Source organism: Homo sapiens, chromosome 15 (genome assembly GCF_000001405.40).
Source record: "Homo sapiens chromosome 15, GRCh38.p14 Primary Assembly".
Classification (NCBI taxonomy): Eukaryota; Metazoa; Chordata; class Mammalia; order Primates; family Hominidae; genus Homo; species Homo sapiens.
The window spans coordinates 28,488,180-28,514,033 of record NC_000015.10 but is presented as its reverse complement, the minus strand read 5'-3'; the positions used below and the strand labels follow the sequence as shown (position 1 = coordinate 28,514,033).

The 25,854-nt window shown below is 40.8% G+C and overlaps 1 non-coding gene and 1 pseudogene across 1 annotated transcript, besides 3 other annotated features; both read left to right on the top strand.

The window, feature by feature from the left end:
* Positions 5,241-7,604, top strand: ABCB10P4 (ABCB10 pseudogene 4; annotated as a pseudogene).
* Positions 5,290-5,789: an enhancer, noted in NCBI's record as "H3K4me1 hESC enhancer chr15:28753391-28753890 (GRCh37/hg19 assembly coordinates)". NCBI's record gives its function as "activates a minimal SCP1, AML or CMV promoter by ChIP-STARR-seq in primed H9 embryonic stem cells {active_cell/tissue: H9 hESC(primed)}" and the evidence as "EXISTENCE:reporter gene assay evidence [ECO:0000049][PMID:30033119]".
* Positions 5,790-6,291: an enhancer, noted in NCBI's record as "H3K4me1 hESC enhancer chr15:28752889-28753390 (GRCh37/hg19 assembly coordinates)". NCBI's record gives its function as "activates a minimal SCP1, AML or CMV promoter by ChIP-STARR-seq in primed H9 embryonic stem cells {active_cell/tissue: H9 hESC(primed)}" and the evidence as "EXISTENCE:reporter gene assay evidence [ECO:0000049][PMID:30033119]".
* Positions 21,470-21,970: an enhancer, noted in NCBI's record as "H3K4me1 hESC enhancer chr15:28737210-28737710 (GRCh37/hg19 assembly coordinates)". NCBI's record gives its function as "activates a minimal SCP1, AML or CMV promoter by ChIP-STARR-seq in primed H9 embryonic stem cells {active_cell/tissue: H9 hESC(primed)}" and the evidence as "EXISTENCE:reporter gene assay evidence [ECO:0000049][PMID:30033119]".
* Positions 23,189-23,282, top strand: MIR4509-3 (microRNA 4509-3). The gene has a single exon (NR_039734.1). It is a non-coding gene; the product is annotated as a microRNA 4509-3 (primary transcript).
* Positions 23,283-25,854: the final 2,572 nt, after the last annotated feature.

The following is a 25,854-nucleotide window of genomic DNA, read 5'->3' as shown; positions in this document are numbered from 1 at the left end:
ATTCCTAGGCTCAAGGGATCCCCGGCCCTATTCCTTTCTGATTTATAGATTAGGCCTTGCGCGCTGGCTCACGCTTGCAATCCCAGCACCTCCGGACGCCGAGGCGGGCGGATAACCTGAGGTGGGAAGTTTGAGACCAGCCTTATGAACATGGAGAAACCCCATCTCCAACAATAAAAACAAAAACAAACAAAAAACAAAATGAGCTGGGCATGGTGGCTCACGCGTGCAATCCCAGCCACTCGGGAGGCTGTGGCAGGAGAACCACCCAAACCCTGGAGGCGGAGGCCCGTTGAGCCAAGACCTCACCACTGCACTCCAGCCTGGGCAACAAGAGCGAATCTCCGCCTCAAAACAAACAAAAAGTGACCAGGTTTCACCATGTTACCCAGGCAGGTCTGGAACTCCTAGGCTCAAGCGATCCGCCGCGCTTGCCGTCCAAATTCCTGGGATCACAAGTGTGAGCCACCATGCCAGGCCGATCTAGTCCTTTATGATTAATAAACTGGACCGGGCGCGCTGGCTCACGCCTGCAATCCCAGCATCCCCAGAGGCCGAGGAGGCGGGCAGATAACCTGAGGTCGGGAGTTTGAGACCAGCCTGATGAATATGGAGAAACCCTGCCTGTACCCCCCCCCGCCAAAAAAAAGAGAGACCGGGTTTCACCATGTTGCCCAAGCCGGTGTGGAACTCCTAGGCTCAAGTGATCCCCAGCGCTCGGCCGTCCGACGTCCTGGGATCACAAGCGTGAACCACCACGCCAGGCTGATCTATTCTTTTCTGATTAATCAATTGGGCCTTGCGCGCTGGCTCACGCCTGCAATCCCAGCATCCCCGGAAGCCAAGGCAGGCGGATAACCTGAGGTCCTGAGTTTGAGACCAGCCTGACCAACAGGGAGAAACCCTGTGTGTACCAAAAAAAAAAAAAATTAGCCGGGCATGGTGGCTCACACCTGCAATCTCAGCCACTAGGGAGGCTGAGGCAGGAGAACCACCCAAACCCAAGAGGTGGAGGTGGCAGGGAGCCGAGACTGCACCACTGCACTCCAGCCTGGGCAACAAGAGCAAAACTCTGCCTCCAAAAAAACAAAAAAAAGAGAGAGACCGAGTTCCACCATGTTGCCCAGGCCAGTCTGGATCTCCTAGGCTCAAGTGATCCCCAGTGCTCCATCATCCAAAGTCCCTGGATCACAAGCGTGAGCCACCACGCCAGGCCGATCTATTCCTCTCTGATTAATAAATTAGGCGGGGTGCAGTGGCTCACACCTGCAGTCCTGTAGAGGGATTTTTAAGGAATTAGATAGACTCATGGGGTTTAGGAGGACATTTATTAATTATTTAGGTGCACCGGCCCAGTCGGATTAACATTTAAAGGATTGAGCACTGAACCAAGAGTTACCTTTCAAGCATTATGTGGGGCGAAGGGGGAGATCTGTGCAGGGAGAAGCATATTATAGAAGCGAGAAACAAAGATTGTTATTTAATTGAAACATGCATTATATTATTTTTTACTATTTAAGGAAAAATATGTTTTGTGACTTGAGTTTATTTGTTTAGTGACCTTGTAGTTGCACAGTTAAGGAATTAGTCGGGCATGGTGGCTCACACCGCAATCCCAGCCACTCAGGAGGCTTTGGCAGGAGAACCACCCAAACCCCGGAGACGGAGGTCTGGCAAGCTGAGACCTCGCCACTGCACTCCAGCCTGGACAGCAAGAGCAAATTTCCCCCTAAAAAAAAATATATATGACTGGGTTTCACCATGTTGTCCAGGCCGGTCTGGAACTCCTAGGCTCAAGCAATCTGGCTCTGGATGTCTTTAACTTGTGATTGAAAGCGTATTAAGATGTTGGGTGTATCAACAGTCCGGAGGACAAGAAGGAAAATCCTGGCATGTGAAATATTCTGCAACAAGAAAAGCAATCGGAGAGGTGACTACATTCACTCAGCTGTTTTGCCCTCTTCTTCCCCACCCCCCACCCCCCCGTCTCTTTCCTGGAAGTTCCCTAGTAAGAAGTAAAAGAGATAATGGCTTTCGAGTGCATGTTTTTCCTGGAATTGGAAGGAATTTTAACAAAGGAGCCCTTCACAATGAAACCCCCCCACACCCCTGCTTTTCACCTGAAGTAGGACAAGATCGTCGCCCCCACCATCATTCTCCACGTGACCCCAGGTGGGGATGGGTAGTGGACACTACTGATAAGCTCTCAGCAATTTCCCTATTTGTGGACTCTGAAGCTCCTTAGCTTGACAACTGATGCATAAGTTTTCTTTTGTGGGATAAGAATAGGAGAATAGGTGACCTTTTCCCCCTGAATTCCCATCCTGGGGCCAGGGAAGAGAGCCCAGGATCCCTTCTCTTGGCCTTCACACTGTGGGAAAGAGTACCTAGAGTTAAAAGCCTGATAAATGCCCTCGAACAGCTTTGAAAATCACAAGGTCAGGAGATCGAGGCCATCCTGCCTAACACGGTCAAACCCGTCTCTACTATAAAAAAAAAAAAAAAAAAAAAATACAAAAAATTACCCGGGCATGGTGGTGGGCGCCTGTAGTCCCAGCTACCTACCGGGGAGGCTGAGGCAGGAGAATGGTGTGAACCCGGGAGGGGGACCTTGCAGTGAGCTGAGATCGAACCACTGCACTCCAGCCTGGGCGACAGAGCGAGACTCAGTCTTAAAAACAAACAAACAAAAAAAAAAAGAAAAGAAAAGAAAAGAAAAAAGAAAAATCACTCGGCGTGAGCGCTTGCCCCCTGAACAAATGTCCAAGTGTATCACTATGGGAATGCCTCTTGGGTCACAGACACAGAGGTAATTCTCTTTGTAAATAGATTCATGTCATTTGTCTCGTTTCTGAACAGTTTCAAAAGAATTATTTGGTGAAGTCAGTTTCCTAGGAGAATCCATCACATTTCCCCAGAGGTATTTCCACCCTTGCAAACCATTAGATAAAGAACAGGCCACGCACAGTGGCTCACACCTGTAATCCCAGCACTTTGGGAGGCCAGGCGGGTGGATCATGAGGTTAGCGGATCGAGACCATCCTAGCTAACAGTGTGAAACCCCGTCTCTACTAAAAATACAAACAATTAGCCAGGTGTGGTGGCAGGTGCCTGTAGTCCTAGTTACTCAGGAGGCTGAGGCAGGAGAATGGCATGAACCTCGGAGACGGAGCTTGCAGTGAGCCAAGATTGCGCTACTGCACTCCAGCCTGGGCGACAGAGTGAGACTTTGTCTAAAAAAATAAAAAAACAAAAACACGTAAAGAACAAATTAGTCCTCGTGGTAGGCCACCCCCACCCCATCTCCAGTTCACCACTTCAATCATACTACTTTCTCAGTGGACTTGAAGCCAAGCTTTCACATCAGAGCCCTCCAACCAAGAGCCTGACTGTATAACTCCTAAGAACAATCAAGTAAGAATGTTTTTCTTTCCATTCCTCACATCTGGTATCTGTTGCCTTGTGAATGGGGTGCCCATCAGCAGGAAGGGTTAGAACTAGGGTAAGTGTGTAGGGAGCAAGGCTTGAAAAGAAACAGATGAGGAAAGAGTAGCAAAATCAAGACTGTCCCAGGAAGTGAGTGTCAGTCAAAGGTTTTGAAATCCCTCAAATAGTTACTTCTGCTGTCTTGGTTTTGTCCACCTCCCTTCTTTTTTCACATACCTGCCACCCTAAAAAGTAATACCTATGCCTAACATAGAGCTAACCAGTTAAAGAACTGCTAGTAACTTTAGAAAAGAGTCCATTTCCCATCAGAATCAGAACAAAATCTTTTTAAAAAAATTATTTTTGGCCAGGCATGGTTGTTCACACCTGTAATCCCGGCACTTTGGGGGGCTGAGGTGGGTGGATCACTTGAGGTCAGGAGTTCAAGACCAGCCTAACCAACATGGTGAAACCATGTCTCTGCTAAAAATACAAAAATCAGCCGGGTGTAGTGGCATATGCCTGTAATCCCAGCTACTCAGGAGGCTGAGGCATGAGAATCACTTGAACCTGGAGGCAGAGGGTGCAGTGAGCCAATATCGTGCCACTGCACTCCAGCCTGGGTGACACAGCGAGACTCTGTCTCAAAAAAAACACAAAAACATATATATATATATATATATATATGTATATATATATACATATATATATATATATATACATATATATATATATATACATATATATATATATATAAAATATAAATATATATACATATAAATTTTTTCAGGCGGGGGCAATGGCTTATGCCTGCAATTTTAACACTTTGGGAGGCAGAGGTGGGAGGATCATTTTACCTAGGAGTTTGAGACCAGCCTGGGCAACATAGTGAGATCTTGTCTCTACAAAAACAGTTTTAAATTAGTCAGGCGTGGTGGTGCATACCTGTAGCCCCAGCTACTTAGGAGGCTGGGGCAGGAGAATCCTGCTGCTGCATTTTGTGCTACTTTTAAAAATATTTGGTAAAATTCAGGAGTAAAGCCGTCGGGTCTTGGGCTTTTCTTTCCCGGGAAACTTTTTTTTATTTTTTGAGAGGGCGTCTCGCTCTGTCGCCCAGGCTGGAGTGCAGTGGCCTGATCTCGACTCACTTGCAGGCTCCGCCCCTCAGGTTCACGCCATTCTCCTACCTCAGCCTCCTGAGTAGCTGGGACTAGAGGCACCCGCCACCATGCCCAGCTAATTTTTTTTTTTTGTATTTTTTTTAGTAGAGACGGGGTTTGACCGTGTTAGTCAGGATGGTCTCCATCTCCTGACCTCGTGATCCGCCCGCCTCGGCTTCCCAAAGTGCTGGGATTACACGCGTGAGCCACTGCACCCGGCTTTTCCTGGGAAAATTGTTTCCGTCTCACTACTTATTGGTCTTTTCAGGTTTTGGATTTCTTTGTGGTTCATTCTTGCTAGGTTGTATGTATCTAGGAAAGTATCCATTTATTCTAGATTTTCTAATTTATTGGTCTATAGTTGCTCATACTAGCCTCTAATGATCCTTAGAATTTCTACAGTATCAATGAAAATGTCCCCGTTTTCATCTTGATTTTATTTATTTAGGGTTTTTTGTTTTTTTTTAGTGTGGCTAAAGGTTACTGGTTTGGTTTATCTTTTTTAAAAAACGAACTTTTCGTTTTGTTCATATTTTGTATTTTTTCATTTCAATTTCATTAATTTTTGCTCTTATCTTTATTCTTTCCTTTCTTCTATACTTATTTTGGGTCTGGTTTATTCTTGCTTTTCTAGTTCTTTTAAGATGTATCGGCGCCACGGGCCCCGCAGAGCCAGGGCGGCTCCCGCCGGTAGCCTGTGTGTGGGCCCCGGCCAGCCGCGCCCCCAGTCCATATCGCCCTTCACTGCCCCGAGGCTGGCGCGGCTATGGGGCGCGGGGCCGGAGCTGCTCTGGGGCGTTGGAGCCGCGCGCCGCTGGAGGAGCTGCTGCCGGGGCGGGGGTCTGGGCGGCTCGGGGGGCCACGCGGGCCTCGGACGGCTCCCGGGGCTGTGGGCTTGGGCCCGGCAGCTGCAGGTGCGGGGCTCTTGCCGGCCGGGCGCTCCTCGGCTCCCGCGCACCGGGTTCCCGGGCGGTCCCACCGCCACTGCCTCGGCAGGGGAGGAGGCCTGGCGGCGCGGGCGGGCGGCGCCTTCCCGGGACGACCAGCGGCTACGACCCATGGCGCCCGGACTCTCGGAGGCCGGGAAGCTCCTGGGGCTGGAGTACCCTGAGCGCCAGAGGCTGGCAGCTGCGGTTGGATTTCTCCGATGTCCGGTGTTATCTCCATGTCTGCCCCTTTCTTTCTGGGGAAGATCATCGATGCCATCTATACCAACCCCACTGTGGACTACAGCGACAACCTGACCCGCCTCTGCCTTGGCCTCAGTGGCGTGTTTCTATGTGGTGCTGCCGCCAATGCCATTCGTGTCTACCTCATGCAAACTTCACGTCAGCGCGTTGTGAAGAGGCTGAGAACTTCGTTATTCTCCTCCATTCTGGGGCAGGAGGTTGCTTTCTTTGACAAGGCTGGCACAGGGGAATTGATTAACCGCCTCTCATCGGACACTGCACTCCTGGGGCGCTCAGTGACTGAAAACCTCTCAGATGGGCTCAGGGCCGGGGCCCGGGCTTCTGTAGGCATCAGGATGATGTTTTGTGTCTCACCTAATCGGGCCACCTTTGTTGTGAGTGTGGTGCGTCTAGTGTCAATCATTGATGTAATTTATGGACGATATCTACGGAAACTGACCAAAGTCACCCAGGATTCGCTGGCACAAGCCACTCAGGAGGAACGTATTGGAAATGTTAAGAACTGTTCGAGCTTTTGGGAAAGAAATGACTGAAATAGAAAAATAGGCCAGCAAAGTGGACCATGTGATGTAGTCAGCAAGGAAAGAGGCATTCGCTCGGGCTGGCTTCTTTGGAGAACTAGGCTGTCCGGAAACCTGATTGTGCTTTCTGTCCTGTACAAAGGGGGGCTGCTGATGGGCAGTGCCCACATGACCATGGGTGAACTCTCTTCCTTCCTATGTATGCTTTCGGGGTTGGAATAAGCATTGGAGGTCTGAGCTCTTTCTACTCGGAGCTGATGAAAGGACTGGGTGCCGGGGGGCGCCTCTGGGAGCTCCTGGAGAGAGAGCCCAATCTGCCTTTTAAGGAGGGGGAAGGGTTATCTTAAATGAGAAAAGCTTCCAGGGTGCTTTGGAGTTTAAGAACGTGCATTTTGCCGATCCCGCTTGCCCGGAGGCGCCCATATTTCAGGATTTCAGCCTTTCCATTCCGTCAGGATCTGTCACGGCACTGGTTGGCCCAGGTGGTTCTGGCAAATCAACAGTGCTTTCGCTCCTGCTGAGGTTGTTCGACCCTGCTTCTGGAACCATCAGTCTTGATGGCCATGACATCCGTCAGCTAAACCCAGTGTGGCTGAGATCCAAGATTGGGACAGTGAGACAGGAACCCATTTTGTTTTCTTGCTCTATCACTGAGAACATTGCTTATGGTGCTGATGGCCTTCCTCTGTGACCGCTGAGCAAGTCCAGAGAGTGGCTGAAGTGGCCAATGCAGTGGTCTTGATCCGGAATTTCCCCCAAGCGTTCAACACTGTGGTTGGAGAAAAGGGTGTTCTCCTCTCAGGTGGGCAGAAACAGCGGATTGCAATTGCCCGTGCTCTGCTGAAGAATCCCAAAATTCTTCTCCTAGATGAAGCAACCAGTGCGCTGGATGCTGAAAATGAGTACCTTGTTCAAGAAGCTCTAGATCCACTGACGGATGGAAGAACAGCGTTAGTTATTGCCCATCATCTCTCCACCATTAAGAATGCTAATATGGTTGCTGTTCTTGACCAAGGAAAAATTACTGAATATGGAAAACATGAAGAGCTGCTTTCAAAACCAAATGGGATATACAGAAAACTAATGAACAAGCAAAGTTTTATTTCAGCCTAAGGAAACAATTACTGGTAAACAACATGAGAGACTTTAATGCAAAACAGTACTGTAGAAAAAAAAAACCTCAGAGACTGCATGAAATATGTAAACCATATATCAAGTTATTTGAAAAATAGCTATTTTTTCCAAAGCGTGTAAAATATTGCTTTGAAATGTACCTGTTCTCAAGATCTTTTTATTCAGAGTTTTAACCATTGTAACTTTTTAAATGTCTATAGCACTGAAGTTATTTTCAGGTTTTGTATTTTCTTTCATTGTGGAATATTTTAATTAATATAGCATGGCACCTCATTTTCTTTTGCCTGCTGTTAAAGATGGAAGCTGTTGTCAAATGACAACTTTAAAAAGGGAAGTATAAATAAAAAGCCTGATTATTTTAGGCCAGTTTGCCAATCACTGTGTAATTCCTCTGGTAGTATTCTACCTACTTTAAGTCTAATTTTACTAGATAGAGTAATGGAAAATGAAAATCTAACCCTTTATTCCGATAATCTCATGAAGCAAACCTAACTATTTAACATCAGCTGGAAAGAAGGGAACATTTATATTGCCCGTCTCCTGTGTCTTCAAAGGTGTGAGAGTTGAGGAATATGTGTTCCTACGGGAACTATGTTTGAATATGTGCAGTTTTCAACATTTTGGCAAATGAAAGCCTGACAAGTTTTTAAAAGGGCAGAAGCTTTATTTTTTGAACAGAAAAATCTATTTTTTAAATTCACATGTTTGTATGAGTACTTCTGGGAAGCAAGGGATGAACTGCTAGGTATTATTAAGAACGAATGATTTTTGCATTTAAGTTGTTTGAAGGCATGTATTTTGAAAAATATCTGTTACAAATTTATAATTTCAAGACATACTAAATCTTATAATACTTTTGGAATTTCATTAATAAGGCTAAAATCTGAGGAATGTAACTAATTTTCAGCCTTAAGACACTTAAGTTTGGAAGTCCTTGCTATTCAACAGAATAACAAGAAACCTTCAGAATGTATCACTCTCCCAAAAAGAAGATATTAATAAGCCCTTTTCTTTTATTCATGGTTATAGTTTTTTTATAGTCTCAAAATTCCTAAAGCAATGCTGACAGCCATTGAATTTGCCATATTTTGTATTCAGTGCTGTTAATGTGCTGTTGCCTCAAGAAAAAGTGCTTTTTCTCCATTGATGAGGCTAGACCCTAAGAGGTAATTAAGTCAATGTAAATCAAATGGAAGTTTTGCCATGAACTAAGCATTTATTAGTTCCCTGATTAGACTGGAAGAAGAAACCGCTATTTCATGACAAGCATGGAATATTATATTTTCTTCTTCATAATTAATGAATAAAATTGATATGAGCGAATGAATGTAGTATTTTTTGAATTAGTAAACAGTACATCTGTGACAATCATTTTAACAAGCTCTACTTGTGTTCTTTATAAAGTGTGATTTTCAGAAAGCAAACAAAACACAATTAAAAGGTTGAATCTGAGGAAAATAATGCTTGTACCATAGAAGTATTTACAAAATTGCATTTCATTGTTATGTTTTATTTTCTGATACCTGATGTTCAATTATATCTGTAGGTAATATTTTATATCATAGATTAAAATTTATAGTGACCTTAAAAAAAGATGTATCATCAGGTTATTTATTTGAGGTTTTTCACTTTTTTGATCTTGGAAATTATAGGTATAAATTTCCCTCTTACTACTGCTTTTTGCTGTATCCCATAGGTTTTGGTATGTTGTGTTGCCGTTTTTATCTGCTTCAATAAACTTTTCAATTTCTTCTGAATTTCTTTGTTGAAATTGTAAGGATCATTAGAGGCTACTATGAGCAACCATAGGCCAGAAATTAGAAAACCTAGACTATCTGGATACATATAGATACAGAAAAATTCACATTATGAATTTGTTCTTAAATAAGCTTTGGTAATTTGTCTCTTTACAGAACTTTAAGCTGCCAAATTCTTGAGTATGGAATTGTTCATAATAGTTATTATCATTTAAATATAGAGGTTCTGTAATGATATTTCTTCTTTTATCAGTCCTTTTTTCTTAGTCTTACTAGTATGTAACAACTTTACTGATTTTTTCAAAGGAACTTTTCACTTTGTGAATTTATTTACTTTCAATTTCATTTATTTCTTTCATTACCTGTTATTTTATTTTTTCAAATTACGTTTTGTTTATTTTTTCATTGACTTTTAAACCTACGTATTTTTCTAATAGAAGAATTTCAAATAATAAATTACCCTCTCAATTTAACTCTACACCACAAATATGAAGCTTTTATTATCATAATTTTATTTTATTTTTTTAATTGGCACATAATAATTGTGCATATTTATGGGTACATAGTGATGTTTCAATACTCATAGTGTATATATTTAATTACCCTGATGAGGTGATGGTAATTAGCATATCCATCATTGCAAACATTTATCATTTCTTTGTTTTGGGAACATTCAATATCCTTTGCTAACTATTTGAAGCTATATGTTATTGTTAACTATTGTCATACCATAATGGTATAGAGCATTAGAACTTATTCCTCCTATCTAGCTTTAATTTTGAATCTTTTAACAAATCTCTCCCTATCCCTCCCTCCCTCTTATACTTTCCAGCCTCTAGCATCCTCTGTTTTAACTTCTATAAGATCAAAATATTTTAGCTTCCACATATGAGTGAGAAGCTGTAATGTTTAACTTTCTCTTCTTGGCTCATTTCACTCACATAATACACTCCATTTCTATGCATGTTGCTTTTATGGCCGAATAGTACTTCATTGTGTATCTATTCCTTTTCCCCTCCTGTCCCCTCCCTTCCCCTCCTCTCCCCTCTCCTCTCCTTCCTTTCCCTTCTTGAGATGGAGTCTTGCTCTGGAGTGCAATGGTGTGATCTTGGCTCACTGTAACCTCTGCCTCTCGGATTCAAGTGATCTTCCACCTCAGCCTCCCGAGTAGCTGGGGACGTGCCACCATGCCCAGCTAATTTTTATATTTGTAGTAGAGATGGGGTTTCACCATGTTGGCCAGGCTAGTCTCGAACTCCTGACCTCCAGTGATCCACCCATCTTGGCCTTCCAAAGTGCTGGGATTGCAGGCGTGAGCCACCGTGCCCGGCCTATATACCACATTTTCTTTAACCATCATCTGTTGCTGGACCCTTAGGTTGATTCCATATCTTGCCTATTGTGAATAGTGCTGCAATAAACATCTAGGTGCAGATGTTTATTTAATATACTGTTTTCCTTATTTTATATTTTTTCTAAATTATCTTTTGATTTCTTTTATGAACTATGAGTTAAATAGTGTTTCATGTTATTTACAACTATTTGGGGGTTTCCTAGGAATCTCTTATGTCATCGATTTCAAATTAAATTTTATTGTGATCAGAGAATATATTCTATAAAATCTAAAGCTTGAGTAAGTTAAATTCATTTAAACTTACTCTTTGATTCAGCATTTGGCCTATGTTGGTGGTGCTTTCAATACACAAGAAAACAATGTATATTCAGCATTTGAAATGTAGTTTTTATAAATGTCAATAAGATCAAGGTGATTTATAATGAAGTTGAAATGTTCTATAGCCATACGAATGGTTTGTCTTACTGTTCAATCAGTGATGAACAGAGGGATGTTAAAATCTTTAATTATTATTGTCATTTATCCATTTCTCCCTTCAATTCTGCTTTTTCCTTCATGAATTATGAGGCTTTATTATTAAGTTGGTGTCCCTTTCATAATTATGAAATGGGGGCATTTCATAATTATGGACATATATGTCATATTAGGACAATAATATAATAACCAATTCATCAGAGGACAATAATATAAGCAATATTATTGTCCTCTGATGAATTGGTTCTTTCATAATTATGAAATGCCCCCATTTTCTCTTATAATGCACCCTCTTTTCCAGTCTACATTGCATTTTGCTAATGTAGCCACACAAGCTTCCTAATGCTTGCTGTGTATATGGTTTATCTTTTCTTGTAGGTTTACTTTTCATCTATCTGTGTCTTTATGTTTAATGTATGTTTCTGGTAGACAACATTAGTTGGGTCTCATTCTTTTGTCTAATATGACAGTCTCTACCTTGTAATTGAATAATTTAGTTCATAAATATGTTAAATGAAATGTGTTGCCACTTTTAAAAACTGTACAATCTCTTGTTTCTCTTCTCATATTTTTGTTTAATTGTATTTTAAGTATTCATTTTAAATTGCATAGATGAGTTAGTTGCAACGCTTTTTTGTATTGAGTTATTTGTATTACAATAATCATCAATTTATACTTAACTAATCTAAATTTTACTTCGAGGTAATTTTTGACAACTTCATATATAATGTAAAAAACTGATGACATCTGTTCTATTTTTACATTCTCTCCAGTGATTGATAGTGTTGCCTACTTTGTCAAATCAAAACAAGGCAACATTTTCCTAAAAAGTGATCTGTGCTCCACCTATCCTATTCATATGCACAGAAGACTTTCAGGGCAGAAAACTATTCTGCATGATACTATACTGGTATATGAATTTGCCTAAACTCATAGAATGTATGACAGCAAGCGTGGACCCTAATATAACTATGGACCTTGGTGATAAGGATGTGCCAGTGCAGGTTCATCAGCGGTAAGTAATGTGCCACTCCAGAGGAGAATGACAGCAAGGGGTCAGGCTGTGCCTGTGTGGACACAATGATGTATGAGAAATCTTTGTATCTTTCTTTCAATTTTGCTGTGAGCTTACAACTGCCCTAAAAATAAAGTCTATTAAAAAAACCCAAAACAACAACAACAAAAACTGATGACGGTAACATTTCCTTTACTCCCCCTCTGTCTTTTGTGATTTTTTTTAGTATAAGTTTTTCTGTCCACATCATAAACCCCACAATAAAATGATATCTTTTTAAATTTAAATAGTCAGTTTCCCTTCAACAAAATCGGCAGATTAAAAAAAAGTATTTCCTGTTACTCATATACTTACCATTTCTATGCTTTTCATTTCCTCTAATCTGGAGTTTAGATTCGACGTTATTTCCCTTCAGGCCAGAAAACTTCTGCTAGCATGTTTTGTAGTACAGATTTGCTGGTGACAAATTGGCCCATTTAATTTTTCCGAAAATGTCTTAATTTTACCTTCAACTTTGAAAGATACTTTAATAATATATAGAAACGAACCTGATGCTCTGTCATCTCCAAATACTTTAGTAGACTGATTCTCAACCAGGGGGAGTTTTGCCCTCCAGGAAACATCTGATAATATCTCAAGATATTTTTAGTTGTTAGCCTGGGGAAAGGTGTGAGGAGGATGCTACTGTCATTTAGTTATTAAAGGCAAACCAAGTCGCTAAACATCCTGCAATTCACAGGAAATGCCCCCAACAAAGAATTATGTGGCCCAAATGTCAGAAGCGATAGTGCCAAAGTTGAAAAACCTTGCTTTCATATATATTTTCTACAAACACAATTGTGTCTATATATGTATATACATATATATAATTGTATATATTACAAATCTGTTACAGTAATATATGTGCCCCCCCAAATGCAATACATGCACAGTACAACGAACAAAACCAGAAAATTAATATTAATATATTGCTACATCTAATTATCAAGTCCGCATTAAAATTTCACCAATAGTCAGCCGGGCACGGTGGCTCACGCCTGTAATCCCAGCACTTTGGGAGGCCGAGGCGGATGGGTCACGAGGTCAGGCGATCAAGACCATCCTGGCTAACAGGGTGAAACCCCGTCTCTACTAAAAATACAAAAAAAAAAAGGAAAAAATTAGCCGGGCGTGGTGGTGGGTGCCTGTAGTCCCAGCTACTCGGGAGGCTGAGGCAGGAGAATGGCGTGAACCCAGGAGGCGAGGCTTGCAGTGAGCCCAGACTGCGCCACTGCACTCCAGGCTGGGCGACAGACCGAGACCCCGTCTCAAAAAAAAAAAAAAAAAATTCACCAATAGTCCCAATAATGTTTCATAGCAAAAGGATCAAGTTCAGAATCATGCATTGCCTTTCATTGTCATGTCTTTTTAATGTCCTTGTATCAAGAATAGATCTTTAGACCTAACTTAACCAAGATTTCTGGCCCATATTTTCTTCTTTTTTTCCTTTGCTTTGCTTCTCCTTCCTTTTCTCCTTTCCTTTCTCCTTCGCTTTCCCCTTCCTTTTTCTCTTCCCTCTCCCCTTCCCTTCCCCCTCCCCTTCCTTCTCTCCTCTTTCCCTTACTTTTTCCTTTTCCCTTCCTTCTTTTTTGAATGGCTCCCTTTAGGTTTTCTGAGGTTTCCTTGTGACTAGAGTCAGGCAATGCATTTTGGCAAGAATATCACAGAATTGATGCTGCGTTTTTTTCATTGCATCCTATCAGGTGGTACATGATTCCAGTTTGTCTCACTACTGACAATGTTTATTTTGACAGGTTGATAATGGTGGTATATAGTAGGCTTCTATCTTGTTATTCTCTGTTTCTAGATTCTGTTACTTTATTTTATGTTGTTTTTCCTAAAGGGTAATAGGAATTTTCTCTGTTTCTTTATTTTGTTTTTGTTTATTTCCCTATTTTTATTCCTTACTATACTTTTAGCACATAGTACCTAGTGCAAAATACTAATATATGTTGAACACCAACAGTTGTTGAACAAATGTCTGAAACTGACTCTGTCCTGCTACCACAAAAACATATATATATATATTTTTTTCCTATAGGGATACCATCAACTCTACATAGTTGTCTAAGCCAAGACCTCCTGCTAGGACTGATTAAAGCCTGTGCATCCTCATTATCCAGAGCCTGTGTTGCTCCTCTAGAGCTATAGTCAGGCTAACCATTCCTTCTGGTTAATATCTGAAAGGAAGAATCATGCAGCAAGAAGAGAACTGTGAGGGAATAAAAATGGCACAAACCCAGCCTGGATTTCTCTCTCCCCTTTTAATGATGAATGAATGAAAAAAATTCATCATTAGCTGTAGTTAGTTTCTATTACATAAAAAGGAAGCTGATGAAATATATAACTGAGTTATATACCCACATCCAATTGGTTCTGTTTCTCTGGAGAACTCTATTAAAGAAGTTATTGAGTATTGTTTACATGTACACTGACAAATATGTCTAAAGGTTATGTCTGAACACCTATAAATTTATATCAATGATTCTATATAGTTCATTCTTATTACACTTGATTCTAATTCTTATGAAGTTGATGTTTGGTAGAATGAATGATAAAAGGAGATTCTGTCCCCTATTGAAGTGTTTGTGTAGTTACACGCCAGAGTTTTGGAGATTGAGGAAAAGGTTGAGCTTAAATAATTTTATGGGCAAACTCAATGCTTGAATGTAAGATAGTACTTTGAAAGATTTGGAGGATTTCATAATGACTTTTACTTTTGCTAATTATTGATACAGTCACTTGTAAATAAGTTTACTTAGGTAAGCTCAAGGAAATCATGCTTTTTCTCAGGCTTATTTTAAATCTGAATATTTTTACTGTCTTTGCTTTTACAAGAAAATATTCATCATTGTATTTTTTGTCTTAATTTTCAAAGTCAAATGTTAATTGTTTTTGTGGGATTACTTTGGCAAATATGGGAGATCCCCAAACAAATTTTAAAAAGTTTTTTCGGCCGGGCGCTGTGGCTCACGCCTGCAATCCCAGCACTTTGGGAGGCTGAGGCGGGCGGATCACGAGGTCAGGAGGTCAAGACCATCCTGGTTAACACAGTGAAACCACGTCTCTACTAAAAATACAAAAAAATTAGCCGGACGTGGTGGCGGGCGCCTGTAGTCCCAGCTACTCTGGAGGCTGAGGCAGGAGAACGGCGTGAACCCGGGAGGCAGAGCTTGCAGTGAGCTGAGATCGTGCCACTGCACTCCAGCCTGGGCGACAGAGCGAGATTCTGTCTCAAAAAAAAAAAAAAAAAAAAAAAAAAAAAAGTTGTTTCTGTTCTCCTTTGTTTTCTACTTTCTCTTAAATAGAAATATATTTCTTGTACAAATAAATGCCATGAATTAAAAAAATAATAAATTATGATTTTCCTTCGTGAGGATCAGTTCTCCTAGACATTGGTTTAGCTAATGCCAGCTATTTGGTATAAAAATCTGTATCAGTGGAGAGGTAAAAAAGAGCTAAAGGAAGCATAAGAAAGACAACCGCATCTTTAAGAAGTTCCTCTTTTTCTTTTCTTTTTTTTTTTTTTTTTTTGAGACGGAGTCTTGCTTTGTTCCCCATTGTTCCCCAGGCTGGAGTGCAGCGGCGCGATTTCTGCTCAGTGCAAACTCCGCCTCCCGGGTTCACGCCATTCTCCTGCCTCAGCCTCCCGTGCAGCTGGGACTACAAGTGCCCGCTGCGGCGCCCAGCTAATTTTTTGTATCTTTAGTAGAGACGGGGTTTCACTGTGTTAACCAGGATGGTCTCGATCTCCTGACCTCGTGATCCACCCGCCTCGGCCTCCCAAAGTGCTGGGATTACAGGCGTGAGCCACAGCACCCGGCCAAGAAGGTTCTCTTAAAAGGAATCACTTCTTGTTTTCTTACAAGTTATAACCTCACTACCCTAGAGTCACATTTTTTAATAACTTATGAATTTTCTGAAACTTCAAATACCCTATGGCCCCATGGTAAAACATCAGATGACATTTGCCTCTCATTTAAACCATTTTTCTTTTCCTCTTTCTTCTTTATTTTTCTTATACTCTCTCCTCATTTCTTTTTCTCTCTTCCTATTTCTCTTTTTCTCTCTGCTTCTTCCTACCTCCCCTCGTGACTTTGTCTCCTCATCCCATCACCGTGCTACTTAGATGCCACATCAATTTGACTAGCCTCAAATTTACAATGAATACTTTTTAAATTCATGCTTCTGAAACTTTTAAAGGATGAAGAGGTATAAATGTCTCAAATAATAATTTGCTTGATGGCTGAAATGAATGGCATTTCTCAAAAAGGCCAAGGGACTGAATACAGAAATTTAAACAATAACTTTCCGTTAGTGATACGGTTTGGATGTTTTGTCCCCTCCAAATCTCATGTTGAAATGCGACCTCCAGTGTTGGAGGTGGGCCTAGTAATAGGTGTTTGTTTCCCAAGGGTGGATCCCCATGAATGGTTTTGTGCTGTCCTCCTGGTAATGAGTGAGTTCTTGCTCTATGAATTCACGAGAGATCTTGTTGTTTAAAAGAGCCTGGCATCTCCCTTGCTCCCTCTCTCCCCATGTAATATGCCAGCTCCCCCTTTGCCTTAAGCCATGATTGTCAGCTTCCCGGGCCTCAGCAGAAGCTGAGCAGATACTGGTGGCCTGTTTGTACAGCCTGCAGACCATCAGCCCAAATACTCCTCTTTTCTTTATAAATTACCCAGTCTCAGGTATTCCTTTATAGCATTGAGATGGACTAACATAGTCAGTTTTGACAACATGAACCTTTCATATTAAAATTTAATTTCTAAATTCACTCATTTACTGTGATTGGTTGATAGCTTTTCTGTAATAATGAATTTTACGTGTGACTTTCAATGTGCTTTAAAACTTGATTCACTTTTTAGCTCTATTTTTGGAAACTACCAGCTTCCACTGTTGAGGCAAAAGTGTCATCATTGAGGCTCTCCTGCTGAGGTAGCTGTTGTCTGATTTCCCTTCAGTTCTACTGCTGTCCCAGTGGAAAAAGGGAATCTTCACCACTTACATGACATGTTTGCCTGAACTCTAATCTTCCACACTTGCTGTAGAAAAGAGTAAAGTGGCAGTTCAGGGCAGTTTACCAATTTAGAAACGGTGTCCGCTCAGTATTTTCCTCTGTGTCACTTACTAAAACATATAAAGAAACCATGGACATTAAAAGAAAGAGAGAGGTTTAATGTGATATTTTAATTCTAACAAGGATTTATGGGCACGTGAATGCTCAAAATCACATACCCCCTTAGTGTTTTTCATCTCACACATATCACATCAGACACATATCACACACATCAGGCACATATCACACAGAACTTACCGTAATTAAATTATCAGTTTTTGAAAAATATTATCATTTGCTCTCTTTTTTTCTATATAAATAAATTTTTTTAAAATATGATTTTCAGTTCTGGGATACATGCACGGAACATGCAGGTTTGTTATATAGGTATACATGTGCCATATAGGTGGTTTCTTATTTGTGTTTTCATCTTATGGCTTTGGCTAGAACTAGATAATAAAAGTATGCATCAATTTAAGAGTTATTTTTAATCATGGTAAGGACATATCTATAACTACTTTGTTAAATTTCATCAGTCATGCATGTTAAATATCATTAAATAAATATCAAAAATGGGCTGCTGTACCAGAATACCATAGACTTGGTGGCTTATAAACAACAGAAAGGAATTTCTCACAGTTCTGGGGTCTGGGAAATCTAAGACCAAGGTACTAGCCAATCTGGTGTCTGGGAAAAACTTTTGTTCTAGTTCAAAGAAGGCTGCCCTTTCTCTATAACCTCAGTGGGGAAGGAGCAAGGGAGTTCAGGGGGCTGCTTTAGAAGGGTGCTAAACCCATTAATGAGGGCTGCTCTCTCATGACTTAATTAGTTCCCAAAAGCCCCACCTTCAAAAACCCTCACATTGGCGGTTAGCATTTCAACATATGAATTTGAGAGGGATGTAAACATTTAGTCTGTAGCAGTAAATGTACAATATAAAGTAAATAGCTTTATTGTTGTGTTGCATTATATTAATATATATTTTCTAGTATTAAATCTTTGTATGCCAAATCACTGGGGTGGGTGATTTCTTAGTAAGTGTAGAATTCAGTTCCTTTTTCTTTCAGTTAAGAATATTTTAACTATGTTTATAAGGGATACTGTTTAGTAATTTTATTCTTTTTGTATTCACTTCATCAAGAGTTAGTAATAGTTATATTTGCTTTGTAAAATGAACTGAAAGGAAGCCACTTTTTATAACTTTATCCATATTTCCTAGTTTGGGGTCCATTTTACAAGATGTTTTAAACAGATGCTTATTAAAAACACTGGTTATAGGGACTTTAATAAAAATTTTTAAAATAATGTTTTACATTTCTTGCAAAAATTGATGCCTGCAACCTATTTACTATTTTTAAAATTAAATTAAGATTCATTTAAGCAGTACATGTTTATTTTAGTGAAACACGTATTTAATTTTCTAAGATAGTATTTTTTGTCTTTAAAACAATTTCTGCATGTTTTGTTTTTTTTTCACTTTAAATTTTATGTTTTCTCAGTTTTTGTTTTATCACATTTGCTATATTTTTCTGTATCATGGGTTATTTGTTAAAGAATGAACTTGTGTATGTTTATAAATTGTTACTGTTTTTGTTTATAATTTATTGCCTTCTAACTTAATATGTAATTAGCATTCCTTTTAATTTTGCTTGTATGCTTTGCTGTACCATTTTGAAATTCTTGAGTTAAATGCTTAACTAGTTTTTATCAAGTTTAAATATTAAATTAAATATGTCCCATCAGTTTAGTCATTTTAATATTCTCACTCATCAGACATTTTTTGGGAACACCATATGCCTTTTCATGCAGTCAGTTTCAAGAAAATGAAAATTACTTTTTATATGTTTATACTCAAAGCTTGGCTAGAGATAAGTCTCCCCTTCCTTAAGTTGGGGAGAAAGTGATTTCTTCCAGGCTATAGTCAAAAGAGATACAATTATAGTAACTTTTTGTGTTTGTTTGGGTTGTTTCTGTTTGTTTGTTTGTTTGTTTGTTTGAGACGGAGGTTGGATCTTGTTGCCCAGGCTGGAGTGTAGTGGCATAATCTCAGCTCACTGCAACCTCCGCCTCCTGGGTTCAAGCAATTCTAAACATATTTTAGCACAAAACTGTTTAAGATTTCAATTTATATCTTTTTATTATGTTCCATATACTCTTTTGATACATTACCCATTATGTTGATTATTAACGTACACTCAAGTCAAGATCTTTTATTATGTGAGGTCATCAGTCAATGATAACAGATATTGATGAATTAGTCTCCTCATCAGAAATTGAGCAACATTTTCATTCAAGACGACACATGGGCCTTTAAAGCATATTCAATAATACTGAGTCTCAGTGTTCTCCTGCTATTTTCTGAATGTGCATTTAGACCTTTATACATCTATCTATCTACTGACCCATTTATTAAATTTTCAGCATTTACTTTGTACTCCAAGGACCAGAACCATGTTTGTCTTGTTCACTGCTGTACTCCTATTGCAAGGACCTAGAACATAGTAGGAGCTCATTAAACCCTGAGGATTCAAAATAAGTGAATAGAGGTTGTAGCAGGAAGAAGTCTAAGATAGCCCCTATGACCTTCATTTCCTCATGTTACCCTGTTGATACCTCACACGGCAAAGGAGTCTTGCACATGTCACTAAGGCTAATAATCCGTCAGCCTTAAGACGGGGGGAGTATCTGGGTAAACCTAACCTAATCACACCAAAACTTCACAATCAGGGAGTTTTCTACAACTGAGAGTAGAATGGGAAGTCAGAGAGTTTCAGAGTCCAAGAAGCATTTATAGCACCCTTATTGACTTTGAAGATGCTTTGCTTCTTCTTTTGAGTTCAGTTTGAGATTATCTTTCTAATAATTGATTAGATTTTATTCTTGTAAAAAAAGAGATAATTTAAAGGAATCTATTTTTAAATACTCTGAGGAGGGTGATACTAGGGGTGCTGGTTGTCCTGTTTTAACTTTGTCTTAATTTCTAATGTAATTAAATTTTGAGTAGGTAATGTGACCTGTGTGGTTTTTATTTTAAAAAATATATTGAGGTTTTATATAATCTATTTTTAAAATTTTCAATGGAAACTTGAAAAAATACTGTTTCACATATTCTCGTATATATATATTAAAAATCTTTTTTTATTTATTTTTTATTTTTATTTTTTTTTGAGACGGAGTCTCGCTCTGTCGCCCAGGCTGGAGTGCAGTGGCGCCATCTGGGCTCACTGCAAGCTCCGCCTCCTGGGTTCACGCCATTCTCCTGCCTCAGCTTCCCGAGTAGCTGGGACTGCAGGCACCCACCACCACGCCCAGCTAATTTTTTGTATTTTTAGTGGAGACAGAGTTTCACCGTGTTAGCCAGGATGGTCTCGATTTCCTGACCTCGTGATCCGCCCGCCTCAGCCTCCCAAAGTGCTGGGATTACAGGCGTGAGCCACTTAGCCCGGCCTAATTATTTGTTTTTTAAAAGACGGTACATAGGAAGAAGTAAATCAGGAAAAGTGGATAGTGATTGGTGGCAGTAGAAGTGAGTCAGTGTTACAGTTACTATTGCTGCTTAAGAAACTAACCCAAATGGCCTGGGCGCCGTGGCTCACGCCTGTAATCCCAGCAGTTTGGGAGGCTGAGACGGGCGGATCATGAGTTCAGGAGATCGAGACCATCCTGCCTAATACGGTGAAACTCTGTCTCTACTAAAAATACAAAAGTTAGCCTGGCCTGGTGGTGGTGGGCGCCTTAAGTCCCAGCTACTCGGGAGGCTGAGGCAGGAGAATGGCGTGAACCCGGGAGGCGGAGCTTGCTGTGAGCCGAGATCGCGCCACTGCAGTCCAGCCTGGGCGACAGAGGGAGACTCCGTCTCAAAAAAAAAAAAATTTAAAAAAAGAAAAAGAAAAAAGAAACTACCCTAAATTTAATAAGGTAAAACAACGACCACTTCATTATATCTCATGGATCCTATAGGTGAGAAATTCCAGCAGGATTCATCTGAGTGATTCTTCCTCTCTCACATCATTAACTAGGGTGACTCAGTGCTAGTCGGCTGGCAAACAAGTCAGTCTGGAAGGTGCAAGGTGCTTTTTTTCTGTCTTATAAATTGATGGAGTTGTCTGGAAGGCAAGGCTCAGATGGGAAGGACTCTTAGTTATAGTGCCTGCACAGGGTAAACTTTTTTTTTTTTCTTTTTTTTTTGAGACGGAGTCTCACTGTCCCCCAGGCTGGAGTGGTGTGACCCGATCTCGGCTAACTGCAAACTCCGCCTCCCGGGTTCACGCCATTCTCCTGCCTCAGCCTCCCGAGTAGCTGGGACTACAGGCGCCCACCACCAGGCCCGGCTAATTTTTTGTATTTTTAGTAGAGACTGGGTTTCACCGTGTTAGCCAGGATGGTCTCGATCTCCTGACCTCGTGATCCACCCGCCTTGGCCTCCCAAAGTGCTGGGATTACAGGCCTGAGCCACCGCGCCCGGCCTGCACAGGGTAAACTTCTTATATGGCTGCTGGCTTTCCGCAGATCAAACACTCCAAGGGAACCAGGTGGAAAATGCCTGGTCTCTTTTTATCTCACTTTAAAGGTCAGGTAGAATTATTTGTCATACTCTATTGATTGTAGCAGTCACAAGCACGTCCAGATTTAGGGAAGGGAGACATAGACCTATTTTTTGATGAGAAGAATATCAACCTGTTTTTGGACTATGTTTAAAACTGCCACACATGACAATTACACACCAGGTAGAAGGCATTTGGGGACAGACTTGAAGGAAATGAGGAGGAATCGTGCTCTGCTGAAACAAGAGCATTCCAAAGAGAGACCACAGCTTGGGCAAAAGCCCTGAGTCGGAATCATGTGGACTTATTCTTAGAACAGCATCGAGGAAGCCATTATAGCTGGAGTAGAATGAGAAGGGGGAAGAGTATTAGTAGATGGTGGCAGAGAAATAAACATGAGAAGACGGATGATGGAACGAGCACCTTGTACGTCATTTTAAGGACTTTGGCTGTTCCTCAAACTGACATGGGACCATTGAAAGATTTTTTTATTTTTTATTTTTTAAATTTAACTTTTAAGTTCAGTGGTACACGTGCAGGTTTGTTATGTAGGTAAAGTTGTGTCATGGGGGTTTGTTGTACGGATTATTCTGTTACCCACATGGTAAACCTGCTACCCACTAGTTGTTTTTCCTGATCCTCTCCCTCCTCCCAGCTTTCACCCTCCTTTTCAAAATAAGACATACGTGCAGCCAACAAACGTAGAAAAAAAGCTCAGCATCACTGATCATTAAAGAAATGCACATCAGAAGTACAATGAGATACTATCTCACACCATTCAGAATGGTTATTATTAAAAAGCTAAAAAATAACATGCTGGCAATATTGTGGAGAAAAGGCAACATTTCTACACTGTTGGTGGGAGTGTAAATTAGTTCAGCCATTGTGGAAGACAGTGTGGTGATTCCTCAAACACCTAAAAGAACTACCATTCGACCCGGCAATCCTATTACTGGGTATACACCCAAAGGAATATAAATTGTTCTGTCATAAAGACACATGCATGCATATGTTTATTGCAGCGCTATTCACAGTAGCAAAGGCATGGAATCAACATAAATGCCCATCAATGGTAGACTGGATAAAGAAAATGTGGTATATATACACCATGGCATATTATGCCACCATAAAAGATGAGATCACGCCCTTTGTAGGAACATGGATGGAGCTGGAAGCCATTATCCTTAGCCAACTAATGCAGGAACAGAAAACCAAATGTTCCCACTTAGAAGCGAGAGTCAAAGGGGAGAATACATGAACACGTAGAGGGGAACAACATTGAAAGATATAAGCAAAGAAGTGATATCATCTGAATTGCATTTCTGAGATTTCTCTGGCACTTGTGTAAAAAATAGCTGAAAGGAATCAACGGCAGAAGCTGGGAGACCAGTTAGGGAGCTTTTGCAATAACCATAAGAGGAAATATGTGTGGCTTAGACTAGGAATCGTCAGGTTGGGAGTGCTCATATTCAAATGTGGTCAGAATCCGGACATTTTGAGTGAGCCTACAGAAAGCTTTAATACTATCTCAAACTAAAGGATATAGAAGGTTTTCCCTTTCTCTTGCCCTGAAACCTTCTGTATCCTTTATTTTGAGATAGTATTAGAATTCTTACTATCTTACTGACAATTCTCACTATCTTGTTTTATAACTTGGAACATGATTATAATTATAGTATTGTTAAATATTTTATTTTTATTTTATAATTATACTTTAAAAATATTATTTTGGTAAATAATCATAAAATATGAAAAATAAATCTTTCCATTAACTGAATCAATTGTCCCCTTGCAGGATTTTGGCTTCACAACTTCCTAATCCTTGAAATATTAATTTTGATTATTTTTCTAATATGTACCCATATGTCTTTGAGTAAATTTTTATTGGAAGGACAAATCAGTGCTGGATATACAGATGCCATTGCTTCGTACTCAGGTAAAGACAACCTGATATTTATGATCCTCTTGATCATATTTTTATTCTCTTAAAATCTTTATGTCTTCTAATAATGTTAACAGAGAAGAAAAAAAGTCTTATCTAAGCCTGACTTTTTATTTTTAAGGAAGTTTTTTTCTTTATTTGTAAAATTCAGGAGTTTGGCTAGTTGTTATTTAAATATGGAGAACTCTTCCTTGTTTCTTCCCCCTCCCTGCCTAGAAGCTGGTTGGTGCTTTTATTATTCGTACTTCAGTGATAGCTTTGATTATTGTTTCAGATCTCCTTGCCCTTGTGTCTTTCCCCAGTACACAAACTATTCTCGAGGTGGAACCTGTGGTCTCTGGCATACCCATCCGCCTTCTTCTCTGTCATTAGTTCATCTCTTCTTTTGCCCTCCAGAGCTCTGATTCAATTGCTGCTTGAACTTTTCAGTGTGTCAGTTTCTTTCTCCACGGATTTCCCTGTGGATGGAAAATCTGCCCTTGCACTTTAGTTTTCATAGAAGCCTCATCTCAGCTATCTCCCATTTTGTGATATGAGCCTCTTTTGTTATTGTAGCCTTCATCTCCTATTTCCTAAATTCCATGTGTTTCTACATACTGTTCATAGACAAATAGTTTAAAGCAATGTTCTATAGTTTCTTGTGGTTTGAAAGTCATATATTTTTAAATACGTTTTCTCCCCCTGAGAATTCAGCATACAGTTTCATTTTTCTTGTACGCAGGATGATTTTTAAGATTTTTTTTCTGTTATTTTTTTCCATTCTGGTTACCTAGAAGGTAGTGATTATTACCCCAAACCAGGGTTTGATACTGTGTTAGTCCACTTTCATACTGCTATGAAGAAATACCTGAGACTGGGTAATTTATAAAGAAAAAAAGGTTTAATGGACTCAGTTCCACGTGGCTGGGGAAGCCTCACAATCATGGCAGAAGGCAAAGGAGGAGCAAAGACATGTCTTACATGGTGGCAGGCAAGAGAGAGAGCATGTGCAGGGGAACTCCCCTTTATAAAACCATCAGAACTTGTGAGACTTATTCGGTTTCACAAGAACAACACAGGGAGAAACCCATCCCCATGATTCAGTTACCTCCCACTGGGTCCCTTTCATGACATATGGGGATTATGGGAGCTACAATTCAAGATGAGATTTGGGTAGGGACATAGCCAAACCATATCATTCTTCCCCTGGTGCCTCCTGAATCTCATGTTCTCACATTTCAAAATCAATCATGCCTTCCCAACAGTCCCCCAAAGTTTTAACTCGTTTCAACATTAACTGAAAAGTCCACAGTCCAAGGTCTCATCTGAGACAAGTCCCTTCCACCTATGAGCCTGTAAAACTAAAAGCAAGTTAGTTACTTCCTACATACAATGGGGGTACAGGCATTGGGTACCCCCAGTGTATTTACACCTGTTCCAAATGGGAGACATTGGTCAAAACAAAGGGGCTACAGGTTCCATGCAAGTCTGAAATCCAATAGGGCAGTCATTAAACGTTAAAGTTCCAAAATGATCTCCTTTGACTCCGTGTCTCACATGCAGGTCACACTGACGCAAGTGGTGGTCTCCCATGGCCTTGGGCAGCTCTGCCTCTGTGGCTTTGCAGGGTACAGCCTCCCTCCTGGCTGCTTTCACTGGCTGGCATTGTCTGTGGCTTTTCCAGGTACACAGTGTAAACTGTTTGTGGATCTACCAATTGGGGGTTTGGAGGGCAGCGGCCCTCTTCTCATAGCTCCACTAGGCATTGCCCCAGTAGGGACTCTGTATGGGAGACAGAGCCCACATTTCAATTCTCTACTACCCTGGAAGAGGTTCTTCATGAGCCCCTGCTCCTGCCCCCGCACCCCACCAGAGCAAACTTCTGCCTGAACATCCAAGTGTTTCCATACATTCTCTGAAATCTAGGTGGAGGGTCCCAAACCTCAATTCTTGACTTCTGTGCGCCTGCAGGCTCAACATCTTGTGGAAGCTGCCAAGGCTTGGGGCTGCAACCTCTGAAGACATGGCCTGAGCTGTAGCCTGGTGTCTCCCACCCCAGCCATGGCTGGAGTGGCTGGAATGCCGGGCACCAAGTCTCTAGGCTGCACACAGCAGGGGGACCTGGACCTGCTCCAGGAAATCATTTTTCCATACTAGGCTTTTGAGCCTGTGATGGAAAGAGCTGCCGTGAAGGTGTTAAGGTCTTTAATGTTCTGGAGACATTTTCCCCATTGTCTTGGTGATTACATTTGGCTCCTTG